Genomic DNA, 13,287 nt, shown 5'->3' on the forward strand with positions numbered 1-13,287 from the left:
GAATATGGCCATGATTTTAAAGGGAAAGGACCAATCATAAACTGGGCTACATTAAAGTTAGGAACTTCTCTTCATCAAAGACGTCATTAATAGAGTGAAAAGGCAAGTCACAGAAGGAGGCTGTTGGCAGCAGGGCTCACGTGTGGACTATCTGGATATGAACACCTGTGAATCAGAAAGGAGGAGGCAGATGGCCTCATGGGAAGGGACTCAAACATCTGTACTCATACTTCACAGATGCAGACACGCAATGGCATCCCTTTGTCTCCTGGGAAATTCAGATGAAAATGAAATGTAGCTTAATAGATACCACTGCAAAGCCATCAGAATGGCTAATGTGAAAAGGTTCCACAGTATCAAGTGTTGGCAAGGATGTAGGACATTGGGAATTTGCATACACTTCTGACAGGAGTAGAGTCACTTTGAAAATTCTTTAGCAAAGTCTTTCGGAGGTATGCAAACCTAGCAGGCCCACTCCCAGGTATACACTTAACAGAAATGCATCTCATGTACTGTAAAAGGGAGCTTCAAGAATCTTTAAAGCAAAAACTGGAAACAGCACAAATGTTTGTTAGCAGAATGGATTTCATACACAGCAGTGTTATGCGACAGTGGAGGAAGGAACTACTGTTACGCGTTATAACATGAATTAATTTTCAAGTGTAACACTGAATGAAAGCAGCCAGACAGAAAAAATGCCACTTAGGAGGGGAGGAGGTAAGGGGCGGTGACCGAGAGGCCTGCTAAGACGGTGATGGTCTGGCTTTGACCTGGGTGGTATTGACGGATGTGTTCAGTTTGTGATAATGCACACGATTTTGGGGTACACCTTTATCTAAGTATGCTATACTTCAATAAGCATTTATTAAAAAGAAGTTTCAGTGGTGTGATCCTAATGTGTTAACATGAGTGTGCCTGAGTGTAATTTATAATATGGAATAGATGACAGTGGAAGCTTAAGGAGGATGGAAGGAATGCCAGTGCTCACACAGCTGAAAAGATGGGGCTAGAGTCTGGCTTCATGCTCGAGGCCTGGCGGCTCTCTGAGTCCCGCTCTCTTTCAGGTCAGCTTTTCTCAGTGGACCTGTAGCTTGTGATTCTCCCCTCCCATCAGAGGGTGGCCGCCGCAACTCCACACTGTGCGCGTTCACTTTCATTCACAGCAGCAGCCAAGAAAAGCCCTGGCTTGGCTCCTATTCCTGCCTTGGGCCACCTCTCCACCTCCAAACTGTCAGTCATGGTGGCTGGAAGATGGCTTAGCCGTGTAGCTTAGCCCAGTTAAGACCTGTCCTGAAAGAAGAGGCTTCCCATCCGGACCACAAGGGTTGGGCAGAGGGTGACGTGGCTCCCAGAGCAGCTTCAGGGCTCTGTTCGAGCAAGGATGAGTAGATGTTTGGTGGCTAACACAGTGATGTCTACTACAGATGGGGAAACACTTTCAAAGGCTAAAAGTGCCATCCGGGATGTATTTGTTCATTCAGTCACTCGTTCATATGTGATTCACCCAGTGAAAGCTTGTTGTGCCCGCCATCTGGTTGGTACCATGAGGGCCTGGTCCTGAGTGAACTTCCTGCTAGATGCTGCTGGAGTGCCAGGTGACCAGCCCCACCTCGTGGGAGAAGTGACTACTGACCAGGAGCCCAGTCAGACTTCATGGGAGAAGTGACCACTGGAGACACTTGAGGGATGAGAAAGACATGGCCAGGCACAGCAGTAAGACTGCTAGGAAAAAAACAAGGAGAAAAGCCTTTTCTGTTTTTTTGAGACAGAGCCTTGCTCTGTTGCCCAGGCTGGAGTGCAGTGGCATGATCTTGGCTCACTGCACCTTCCCTCCCGGGTTCAAGTGATTCTCCTGCCTCAGCCTCCTGAGTAGTTGGGATTACAGGCATGTGCCGCCACATCTGGCTAATTTTTGTATTTTTAGTAGAGATGGGGTTTCACCATGTTGGCCAGGCTGGTCTTGAACTCCTGACGTCGTGATCTGCCTGCCTCGGCCTCCCAAAGTGCTGGGATTACAGGTGTGAGCTACCGCGTCTGTCCAAAAATCTTTTTAAAATAAGATACAGGAACACTAATTATAAAAGAAAAACTATCAACTGGACTTCATGAAACTTTAAGACCTTATCTGTTTGAGACATAAAAGCAAGCCATAGACTGGGGAGAGGAATGACAGTAAATACAAAGGAAAAAGAGATTTGTATCTAGAGTGTGTACAGAGCTCGTCAAACTCAGTGAGAAGACGACACACAACCTGAGTAAAAGCTGGGCCAAAGATTTGAACAGATACTTCACCAAAGAAGAGATGCGATGGCCCCACGAAGAGATGTTTGGTATCATTAATCATTATGGAAACGAAATTAAAACCACACCCAACTGCATGGCTGATAGTTAGATTCACAGTACTAAGTGTTGGAAAGGCTGTGTAGCATCTGGAATTCTCATACATTGCTTGTCGGAATGTAAAGTGGAGTAATTTCTTTAGAAAAAGAGGTGACATCTTAGAAAACTAAGCATATCCCAATGTTATGGCCCAGTAACTCGACTCCTAGGTATTTAACCATGAAAACCCAAAGCGTATGCCCACGAAAATCCTGTGCAGGAATATAACAAACCCCAAACCGGAAACAACCGAAATGCTCATCGACAGGCGAATCTTTAACAAACTGGTGGATCCGTTCAACGGACACAGCTAGAAAAAGGAAATCACAGCTGATTCACGTAACTTGGATCCGTCTGGGAAGGTGCTGTGCTGCTGAGTGAAGGAAAAGCTTGCACGATGTGTAGGTCCTGAGTGACTCCATTTCTGGGGAGTCCTAGGGCAGCCTCAGCCATGCACAGTGAGGAGGTGAGCACCTCCCCGGCCAGGGCTGGGATGGACTGCAGAGGATACTGGGAAGTATACAGGGGCGGGGGGATAGAAGTGTGTCTGTATCTTCCTTGGAGCAGGAGTTACATAGCTGGATGCCCTTGTCAAAAGCCACCAAACTGATTGCTTAAAATGGGTGCATCTTATTTTATAAATTAGAATTGGCCATTTATATCTGGGGGTTTTGCATCTGCAGATTCAACCAACTGTGCTTCGAAAATATTTGGGAAAAAAAGGCCGGCACGGTGGCCCACGCCTGTAATCCCAGCACTTTGGGAGGCTGAGGCGGGTGGATCACGAGGTCAAGAGATTGAGACCATCCTGGCCAACATAGTGAAACCCGTACTAAAAATACAAAATTTAGCTGGGCGTGGTGGCGGGTGCCTGTAATCCCAGCTACTCGGGAGGCTGAGGCAGGAGATCACTTGAACCCGTGAGGTGGAGTTTGCAGTGACCCGAGATCATGCCACTGCACTCCAGCCTGGGCGACAGAGTGAGACTCTGTCTCAAAATAAATGAATAAATAAATAAATGGTAACAGTGCAACAAAAGATAACATAAATAAAAAACAACACAGTATAACAATTACTTACATAGCATTTACCTTGTATCAGGTGTCATAAGTCATCTAGAGATTATTTAAAGTATTCAAGCAGATGTGCATAAGTTACATGCAAACACTATGGCATTTTATATAAGGGTCTTGAGTAGCTAAGAATTTTGGTATCCCCCATAGATACTTAGGGACAACTATATATTGTCAATAATGTCAAGTTAAAAAGTAGAAACAAGGCAACAGAAACCATGAAATCCTGGGCAGTCTGGCCCAGGAATCAGGCTCTTCGTGACCTCCTTGTGCTGCCTGGCCCTTTCTGACTTCAAGTCCCCTTTATGTACTGAGACTGCAGCTGCCATGGGCCCATGAGTCTTTGAAGATAGCACATTTGCATAAGTGAGAGTACGTACACACGTATGTGTGTATATGCATGCGTGTATATGTGTGTGTGTGCGTGGGGTGTGTGTGCGTGGTTGCTGTTAGAAGACAGTTCAGACTTTGGAATCCTGTCTGGTATATGAGGCCTCTAGAGAAGCGCTTGTTTCATCTCGCAGCCCTGTTGTAGAAGAGCCTTGGGCCCACCTGCTGCAGGGCCTGTGGGACTGTTGTCCAGGTGAGTGGGGAGGGCCTGCACCGGGAGGCTGCGGACGCAAGCCCAGGCCCCTTCCTGAGTGCTGTCGGGAGTGGTGCTTGCATTGTGTTCAGCTGGCTGACCTCCTCTGTGTGTGTTTCTTTTTTCCCACAATTTGTGCTCCTCTCTGTGTCAGATTTCAGAATGCCAAGCTTAGGTATGATGCAAGTCTTTTTATTTCACGCTTAATAATAGGGACTCCATGAATTAGCTATAACCATGTATATTTTTTGTTTATTTCTCACCCAGGGTTACCTTCCCGCCAATGTAGACCGGAGACCAGCCACTCTCCAGAGAAAACAAAAAGAATATTTTGCATTTATTGAGCACTATTACGATTCTAGGAACGACGAAGTTCACCAGGACACATACAGGCAGGTGGGAATCCTTTCTTTTTTTCGTATGTTGCCTGATGTACTTTGCTTTGCTGTGATTTATAGGAGGAAATGTTTTATCAAAACCATGTGGAGTTGGTCAGAGTTAAAGATGCAGGTCCCTGATTAGCTCACAGATTTTTATTTTCTAATAAATAAATTTTAAAACAAATAATGGCAAATTTCCTCTGCTAGTACTATCTTGCTTGTCTTCAGTTCCCTCTACAAAAGTAAAAAGAGTATTTTAAATTGAGGTTACAAAATAAATGCCTTGGATTCCTGAGACCGGCCTTGGGGTGATGGTGGGAGTTTGTATCACAGTGAGCTGCTGTCTGGTAATAAAAGGCCATTCCTAAAGGCCCAGGCCCAACCACTTAGCTGATGGCATCAGGACAGAGAGGTTGCCTGGGGTTCTCTGGCGCTGGGCTCTTCGGTCTAGGTAGGGATGTGATACCGACCCAGGAAAGGTGTGTTCATCAGTTTGGTTTTGCAGGGGACACACTTCAGATCATAGCAGAAGGTGTAGCCAAGTTACCATTTTGTGATTTAGTTTAATATAAAGTGTGTCTAATTATGGTTTCTTAAATAGTCAGTTGACAGATGATGTACATAATGGGAAAATACTTAAAATTGATTTATGATTCACAGTACATCCAGAATTTGCTGTTAGAATAGCTCTTTGAGGACTTTATAATTCTCACTGTCTTTGTAATATGTGAAAGGTCAAAATGGTGGTTCTTAATTGGTATTATTGTCTTAGCTATCTGAAACCAGCTTCTGGGTTTCCTGAGGCACGGCAGGAATGTTTCCCTCTGCAAACCCTGCTTCTAGGTGATGGAGCTTTGCCACATTTTCTCTTTCAGTTGTGGGATAGCCACATCTCTTTGTTAGTTGGTTTTATCTGTAAAAAAAAAAAAAAGTCCAAATATATGCCTTACCTCTGTTACATAACAAAGATTCTTTAAGTTAAATGCCTTCCTGGACAGCAGCTTCAAAGACGGATGGGACACAGGGCTGCAGGAGGAAAGGTGACTTGCTTAGGAGTGAGGCTGGGGCAAAGCAGCCATCTCCATTTCCTTCCAGGCCGGAGCTGCCCCTGGCCCGTGTTGCCTTCTGTCTCTCATCAGGGCCCCTGGACCGCACTGGACCGCCACCCAGTTACTCTGGGAAACTGATTTGATACACAGATTACTTTGGATTTGCTTAAGGAAATATTAGCTTACCTGGCCTCTTTTGCCACTCCACTGGTTTTAGGAAATTGATAAATTTGGCGTTGTTTTGAACCTATTTTTTAATGCATTTTAATTTCAGAAAAGATTTCCAAAGGATGACACTAGCATCTATCTGCGAGTTTTACCAAGTGGAATTCTGTTATGAGTGTTGGAAGAGAAAGTTAATTACGAACAGGTTGCATACATCTTTATTTAGTTACTGTGATAGGTAATAAAAAGGTTCCAGATTATTGTGAATTCCCAGACTATTTCTACATTAATATAGATGAGACACGCCTGTGGCAACGCGGTAGTTTTTCCTGTCTGCCTGATGCTTTGAGGCCTCTTAGAACTGCGCCTTCTGCGTTCTCGCCATCGCCATTTCAGGCAGAGCTGGGCCCGGTGGGGGTTTGGAGACCTTGGTTTCTCCTTTACATCCACTTGGGCGTTTGACCTGTGGACTGAGCCCGACCAGCCGTCTGACCCGCAGTGGGCAATGCCACCCCTGCACACTGGTGGAGGCAGCAGGAGTGGGGTGGCCTCGGCAGGTTTCCCGCTTGCTTTCCATCCTTTCTTCATTTGATTTTTATGTGCTCACTCTTCTGCTGAAGATGCTGTGTCAAAGCCACATGGAGAGCCACATGGAGTCAGAGTTAAACGTTCATCTGGTCTGTCTTTTCCTCCCTCAGTCAGCTCTCTTGTGGCCTTTTTCTGATTTGCCCAGTTCTGTGTATGATGGGAGGCAGGCGGGATGGATGGAGGGGTGCACAGAGCCCCACCTGCCCAGCCTTGTGGAGGACCGCCTCTCTAATGTTGGAGCCTCTCCTGACAATGGGGATGATGGCAGGGGTTGGGTCTGGTGGATGCTGCCTCGTCTGCTCAATAAATGTGTGACAGGAGCTCCTATGTAAGCGGGCTTTGCTGGCCCTGGTCATGCAGAGGTGGCTCAGACCTGGTTCCTGCCCTGCAGGAGCTTATGCTGCTCATGCTGGGGACAGATGTGTGTCCACACGAGTGTAACTGTATGGGAGAGCAATTAGGCCGCCAGGACACCCTGATGAGAGACCTGGGCCCTTGTCCCTGCTGGCACCTGGGCTCCTGCATGGGGCCAGCTTCAGTCCTTTGGCCCTGCCTGTCTGGATAGAGTAGTGCTGCTTCTGCCTCCTCCTCTTCCTCCTCCTCCTCGGCAGCACTGCTGCTGGCGGGCCTCCTTTGGCACGCATCACAGATGTGTGTGTGTGCCTCAGCTTACTCCATTTGGCTGTTGACTCACAATCTTGATGTTCACCAGTAACGTTTTGAGATACTTGGAGCAGGCATTTTGTAGACAAGGAAACTGAGGCCTGGCCACAGTGTGATAAGTGGCAGAGTGATGATGTCCCAGCCTCCTGGGTGTTAGAGTCCTCTGTGGAGATGTGCAAGGATGGGGCGAAATGAAATGCAATTGCAGCATCTCCCTTGGCATTAAAATGTGCCTGTCTTCCCTCAGTCCATTGGTGCCGTTGTCCTGGATAAACGGGAGCGTGGGCTAGTGTGAGATGTTCACGTGGGATGTCGGGAGCCTGCCTGTGATGCCAGGCCAAGCCCACAACACTCTTGTTTGGTTGCTTCTTGAACCACAAGTGTCCTCCTCTGCAGTGTTGGGGACTTTATTATGACTCTGATGTCAGACGGTGGCCAAGCAGGAACCAGCTGACACTAACAGAGGCTTTCAAAGGCTTCCTTTGAGAAATGTTCTAGATTCCCCCAGGACTTCATAAAGTGGAGAAAAATGTGGCCTCTGTCCAGGAAGAAGCTGTCACAGCTGAAAACTTGTAAACTATTGATGTACTTGAATTGCTGTCTGTGTCAGAGGCTGAAAATCGATGTTTACTAATTGCTATGGCTGATGTTACTAAGCAGCCGAGGCCTGCTCTGTTTCTAATCATGCAGCAACGGCTGCTGGATAGGGACAGTGTCAAGCAAGCCTGTCGCCTAGGCCTGGGCGAGCTGTTCAGAGAGAACAGGCTTTGGATACCTCCTTCAGGGGAGAAGGTGGTAACATGGAGAACGAGAATCCTCAAGGAGAGAGCGGGGTAGAGGCCGGGGAAGGACTTACCTCAGTATTGCTGTTTTAATCATATCGCTCGTAATGATGTTTGTTGTGACGTAACATAAATGTCCGTTTCTCCTGCTTCTCCAGATCCACATAGACATCCCTCGCATGAGCCCTGAAGCGTTGATCCTGCAGCCCAAGGTGACGGAGGTAAGAAGCTCTTGCCGTGGGGAGTTCCCCTCGTTGGGAGTGGCTGATGCCCACTGTGCTAACCAGACAGTGGGCGCAGCCGGAGGTGCTTCACCCAGAAGCAAGGTTGCTGTGGTGAGCTGCCGGTGCATCTAGCCCTTGTGGACACAGTTGCTGACAGGACTTCTATTTGTTCTTTAAATATTTTTACTGTATAATATTGACACACAGCGAAGAATGTATGTAATACATATGTGTGGATGTATGCACTCATGTTCCACCACCAGATTGAGGAAACAGAACCCCCCAGTGCTGCCCAGCTACAAACATGGCCTTGACCTCAGGCCTGACCCAGAGCACCAAGGCCGCTTGTGTATCCCCCACCCCTGTGCAACCCCCTTCCTGGATGACGCTTTCTTGCCTTTTATGTTTACGATTCTTTGTGACTTTCATTCATGGGACAGTAGGGACACAATGTATTCATTTAATTTGGGTCTTTTGGAGCTGCATAACTCTTTGTGTAGTCTGGTCTCTGCCTCTTGTTTTTTTTTCCTTTATTTATTTAGAGACAAGAGTCTTGCTCTGTCGCCCAGGCTGGAGTACAGTGGTATGATCTCGGCTCACTGCCACCTCCACCTCCTGGGTTCGGGTGATTCTTTTGCCTCAGCCTCCCTGGGCTGGGATTACAGGCACCCACCACCACGCCCGGCTAATTTTTGTATTTTCTGTAGAGATAGGGATTTGCCTTGTTGGCCAGGCTGGTCTTGAACTCCTGACCTCAAGTGATCTGCCCGCCTTGGCCTCCCAAAATGCTGGGATTACAGGTGTGAGCCACGGCGCCCGGCGTCTCTCATTGTTTTCTAAGATTCAGCTAATCTGTTGTATCTAGTTACATAATAGTTTGTTATTTAAATATTCCTCACTCTCCTTCGTCTTCTTCCTGTTGGACATTTGGGTTGTTTCTGATGTTTTGCTGTTAGGAAGGGTGTTATCTGGAGCCTTCACGTACATTTATGCAGGTGCTCACAGGCAAGATTTCTCTAAGGCTTTTACAAAGGAGTACAATTATTGCATCATTGGGTGTGGTGTGTGCCTGTTGTACCTTCAAGATAATGTCCACAAGCTTCCCAGACGGCCGCTACCAAATAAACTGTCCTCTGCAGCGTGTGAGTGTTCCCTCCGCACGCCGCACATCCTTGCCAGTTCTTCATGCTGTGGGACTTCCTGTTTTTGTTGCTCTGGTGGATATTCCTGTTGCAGTCCTCACGTTTGTTTCTCTGGTTACTCACGGAGTTAAGCATCTCTTTGTATATTTACGGATGTCTTCTGTCTTTCCCCCTTCTGCGAAATGTTCCTCCTGCCTTTTGCCCATTTTTCTTTTGGTTTGTCGATTCGCTCCTTTATTAGTTGTTGATCTTTACATGGTAAGAATTCTGATTCTTTGTCAGTTTGTATGTTGTAAAGATCTTCTGCCCTCTGCAGCTTTTCTCTTCCTTTTTTCTTGGTGGATCTTGATGATCAGAAGTTGTTAGCTCTAGTGTGGTTGAACTTAACAGTCTTTTAAGGTGAGCACTGATGCATGTTATCTAAAGAACTTTTTTCTACACATGAAGGTGTTCACCCAGATTTTCATCCAGAAGTTTTGCTTTTCACGCCTCTGTGTTCAGTTCATCTGCAGTTGATGGCCATGTGTGATGGGAGGCAGGAGTCTGTTTAATTTCCTCCTGGGACAGTGGCAGTCCCCATACTGTTTCTGGGTCCAGCTCATCTCCCATATTTGTTATGTCACTCCTGTTTTCTGTCACTGCCACATTCATATAGATCTGTGTTGTGTTGTGTTGTTTTTTTGTCGCAGTATTTACGTAGTGTTCCCTTCATATCGCACCCCGCAAGTAATTTAGCTTCATGACGTCCTCCTACCTGGTGGGGGTGCACACCGCCCACTGGTTTCCTCTTCACCGTGGACTGGCCAGTCCCACCCCTTGCTCTTCCACGTACGTCTCAGAGTCAGTTTGCCAAGGTCTTTCACTTGTTTTTTGTTTTTTGGGTCTGTTTGGTTTATGACTGGAATTGCATGGAATCTTTCTATTCCATGGAAAGTTAGGGGTCAGAAAAGACAGTTTTTAGTTTGGGAGAATGGATAGCTTTATGAAATTAAATATTCATTTTTGTGAATGTGCTAGTTCCTCTTTTAAAAGTCATTTTTAATGCTTTTCAGTGAAGGTTTTGAATTTCCCCTATGAAGCGTCTCGTACATGTGTTACCGGTGGAGGGTGTCCAGGTTCTTGGTGCTTTGAACAAAGAATTGGACAAAATGCACAAACAAAGCTAGGAAAGAATGAAGCAGCAAAAGCAGACATTTATTGAAAATGAAAGCACACTCCACAGGTCGGGAGTGGACCTGAGCAAGCAGCTCAAGGGCCTGGTAACTGGATTTTCTGGGGTTTAAATACCCTCTAGAGGTTTCCCATCGGTTACTTAGTGTACACCCTATGTAAATGAAGTAGTGGCCCGCTATCAGTCTGATTGGTTGCAGAAAGCGACCAATGAGAGGCTGAAGTGAAGCACCCTATGCAAATGTCTGATTGGTTGCAGAAAGTGACCAATCAGAGGCTGAAGTCACAAAATTATATTCCTATGCAGATGAAGACTTGGCCTGGGACCAGGCTGCTAGGTTGCTGGAGGGGACCAATCAGAGGTACTTTCAGTTTTTCATCTGCCACGCAGAAGAGGGGTGGATTGTGAAGGCAGTAGCCTCTGGTCCTTTTGTTACCTGGGCATGGAAAGTTGTTTTTTTTTGTTTTGTTTCGTTTTGTTTTTTTTTGTGTTTTTTTTTTTTTTTTTAGTTCTAGGAAGCTAGTGTGAATTGGCCTTAGGTTACCTGCCTCCAGACCCTATTCTCCTGCCTGACGTGTTTTATTAGATTTATTCTTAGTTATCACATGTTTTTCTTGTTATAGTAAATGTTATCTCTTTAAAGCTGAAATTTTTATTATTTGAGATATTTTGTTTTGCATGTTGATTGCTTCAGTAAAGGCACGTTTAAACTTTGACATTTCTTGTCTGTGCAGTAAATCTGTTAAAAAAAAACTTTAGGATTGTTAAAGCAAAAGTATTTACAGATTGTAGAATACAAAAAGAGAAAATTAGTATCCAACAGAAGTAGTCATTTTGAGACACTTCTCTTTGATTGTCCTTTTTAGTAGTTGTGCCTATCATACCTGGAAAATGAGATAATTTGTTATAACCTCCTTTTTACTTACGATTTTAAAAATGGGAAATAGAGCCTGCCACAGGACCTTTGGTTTATTCTTATTTATTTTTTCCTACCACTTGCTGCATTCTTTGTACAGCTGACCTCTCAGGCCTCTTGGTCTCAGAGTGTGGACCCTGAGTCACGGCTAGTGGTAGCAATTGGCAATTGGTCCTCTTGTCTCTGACCACCATGGGCCTTGAGCTGTTGGTTTGGAAAGCCTCCCCTGTCAATTGAGAAAAATGATGAGACAACGCTCAATCATTTTTAGGAGGTTTATTTGCCAAAGTTAAGGACACACGCCTGGGAGACAGGTCTATGTCTTTCTCCCGGGATGATTTTCAGGGCTCCAAATTTAAAGGGGACAGGGCTGGATATTGAGAAGTGCACAGTTTTCATATATGAGGGAGACAGAGAAAAACATTCATGCCTTTGTCTGGCTCAGTGAATCTGCATTTTTTTTTTAACCTAAAACGACATAGACAAATGGAGCAGAGGGAAAATGCAGGGAGTCTGCATGTTACATAAGATAACCTAGACACAATGGGGCAGGGAACAATCAGATATGCATTTGTGTCTGGTGGGCTGGGGTGCACCTGTGAACATAAGTTGTCCATTTACACTGCCATGGTGAAATTTTTACAGAAACACCTTAAAAGATCTTGCAGCTCACTAGGAATTTCCTTGTGGGCAAAATATGGGGGAGGCATGTAGCTTCATCGTGTAGCCATCTTATTTTGGAACCAAAAGGGGAAGGCAAGTTTGCATGGCCCAGGTCCCAGCTTGACTTTTCCCTTTGGCTCAATGAGTTTGGGATTTTGAAATTCAATTTCCTTTCACTCCCTCTGCAGTGGGTCTTGCTCAGGTCCTATGTGCTCCCCCTGGGGGTGCTGATCCTCTCCAGGTCCCAGTTCAGCAAGGCTTGGCAGAGTGGATCAACTTGGAGGGTAGATGAGCTTCTGGGAGAGCCAGGCTCCTGCAGGCTGGCAGAGTGTGAAGAGTGGGTAACCTGAGCACAGCCTTGTGTGTGTGGGGAAACTGAATGATGAGCAAGGGGCTTTAGGAAAGTATTGAAATGTTTGTCTTGGCCGGGCGTGGTGGCTCACACCTGTAATCCCAGCACTTCAGGAGGCCAAAGCAAGCAGATCAGCTGAGGTCAGGAGTTCAAGACCAGCCTGGCCAACATGGTGAAACCTTGTCTCTATGAAAAATAAAAATATTAGCCAGGCGTGGTGGGGCGTACCTGTAGTCCCAGCTACTTGGGAGGCTGAGACAGGAGAATTGCTTGAACTCGGGAGGTGGAGGCTGCAGTGAGCCGAGGTGGCGCCACTGCACTCCAGCCTGGGTGACAGAGCAATACTTCGTCTCAAAAAAAAAAAAAAATTTGTCTTGTGTTGGCCAGTAGAAAAAATTGAGTTATGGTTTCTGGCATTGTAGAGGTGCAGAGGTTAGATTTCAATACATCTGCAAGTGATGGCAAATCCCGAATGTGCCTTCACAGGCCAGAACTCGATTACTATCTCCAGTACGAGGTCATTGTCAGCACATTGTTTGTTCCTCTATATGCTTGGCTTTGACCTCATGGTCCAAGGTGGCTGGCCTAGCACTCTTTATCACATTTGCATTCCACTAGCAGGGATAATAAGACGTGGGTAGAGAATGCCATACCCCCACTTTAAAGATGTGTCCCAGCAGCTGCTCATAGCACTTCTGCTTGTTTCCTACTGGCTGTAACTTAGCCTGTCATCCAAAGTGACATGGTTGTATACTTAGCTGTATGGATCAGGGAAAATGTAACTTTGATTTTTTTAGTTGTGTGCTCCCCTAAAGTTTGGGCTGCTAATAGGAAGAAGGATTTCTGCCGTAAGCATCCCTCCAACCCCCTGCATCTATCGAAACATTTGCTTATCCATTCCACAGGTGATGGCTGGGTCCACTGTGATCAGTTTCTACTTTCCTTCTTCCTCCTTTTCTCCTTCCCTTTCTCTTTCTCTCCCTCTGGTCAGCTTTATCGAGGTCTAATAAAATTCACGTATTTTAGGTTTATAATTGGATGTTTTGACAGCTGTGGTTTTTTTTTTTTTTTTTGAGATGGAGCCTCGCTCTGTTGCCTAGGCTGCTGGAGTGCAGTGGTGCGATCTCGGCTCACTGCAACCTCCGCCTCCTGGGTTC

The 13,287-nt window shown here is 46.0% G+C and overlaps 1 protein-coding gene across 19 annotated transcripts in view; it reads left to right on the forward strand.

Moving 5' to 3' along the window:
* The window catches only part of TBC1D22A (TBC1 domain family member 22A), a 413,050-nt gene that overhangs the window by 124,314 nt on the left and 275,449 nt on the right, over positions 1 to 13,287 (forward strand). For all 19 annotated transcript variants that reach the window (XR_007067971.1, XR_007067970.1, NR_104292.1 and 16 more), the window contains 2 exon segments: positions 4,303 to 4,431; positions 7,821 to 7,883. Coding sequence is in view for 16 of the 19 variants with exons in the window: in NM_001284304.2 (NP_001271233.1) it covers positions 4,303 to 4,431; positions 7,821 to 7,883 (192 nt within the window). In the remaining 3 variants the exon portion in view is untranslated.

Source organism: Homo sapiens, chromosome 22 (genome assembly GCF_000001405.40).
Source record: "Homo sapiens chromosome 22, GRCh38.p14 Primary Assembly".
Lineage (NCBI taxonomy): Eukaryota > Metazoa > Chordata > Mammalia > Primates > Hominidae > Homo > Homo sapiens.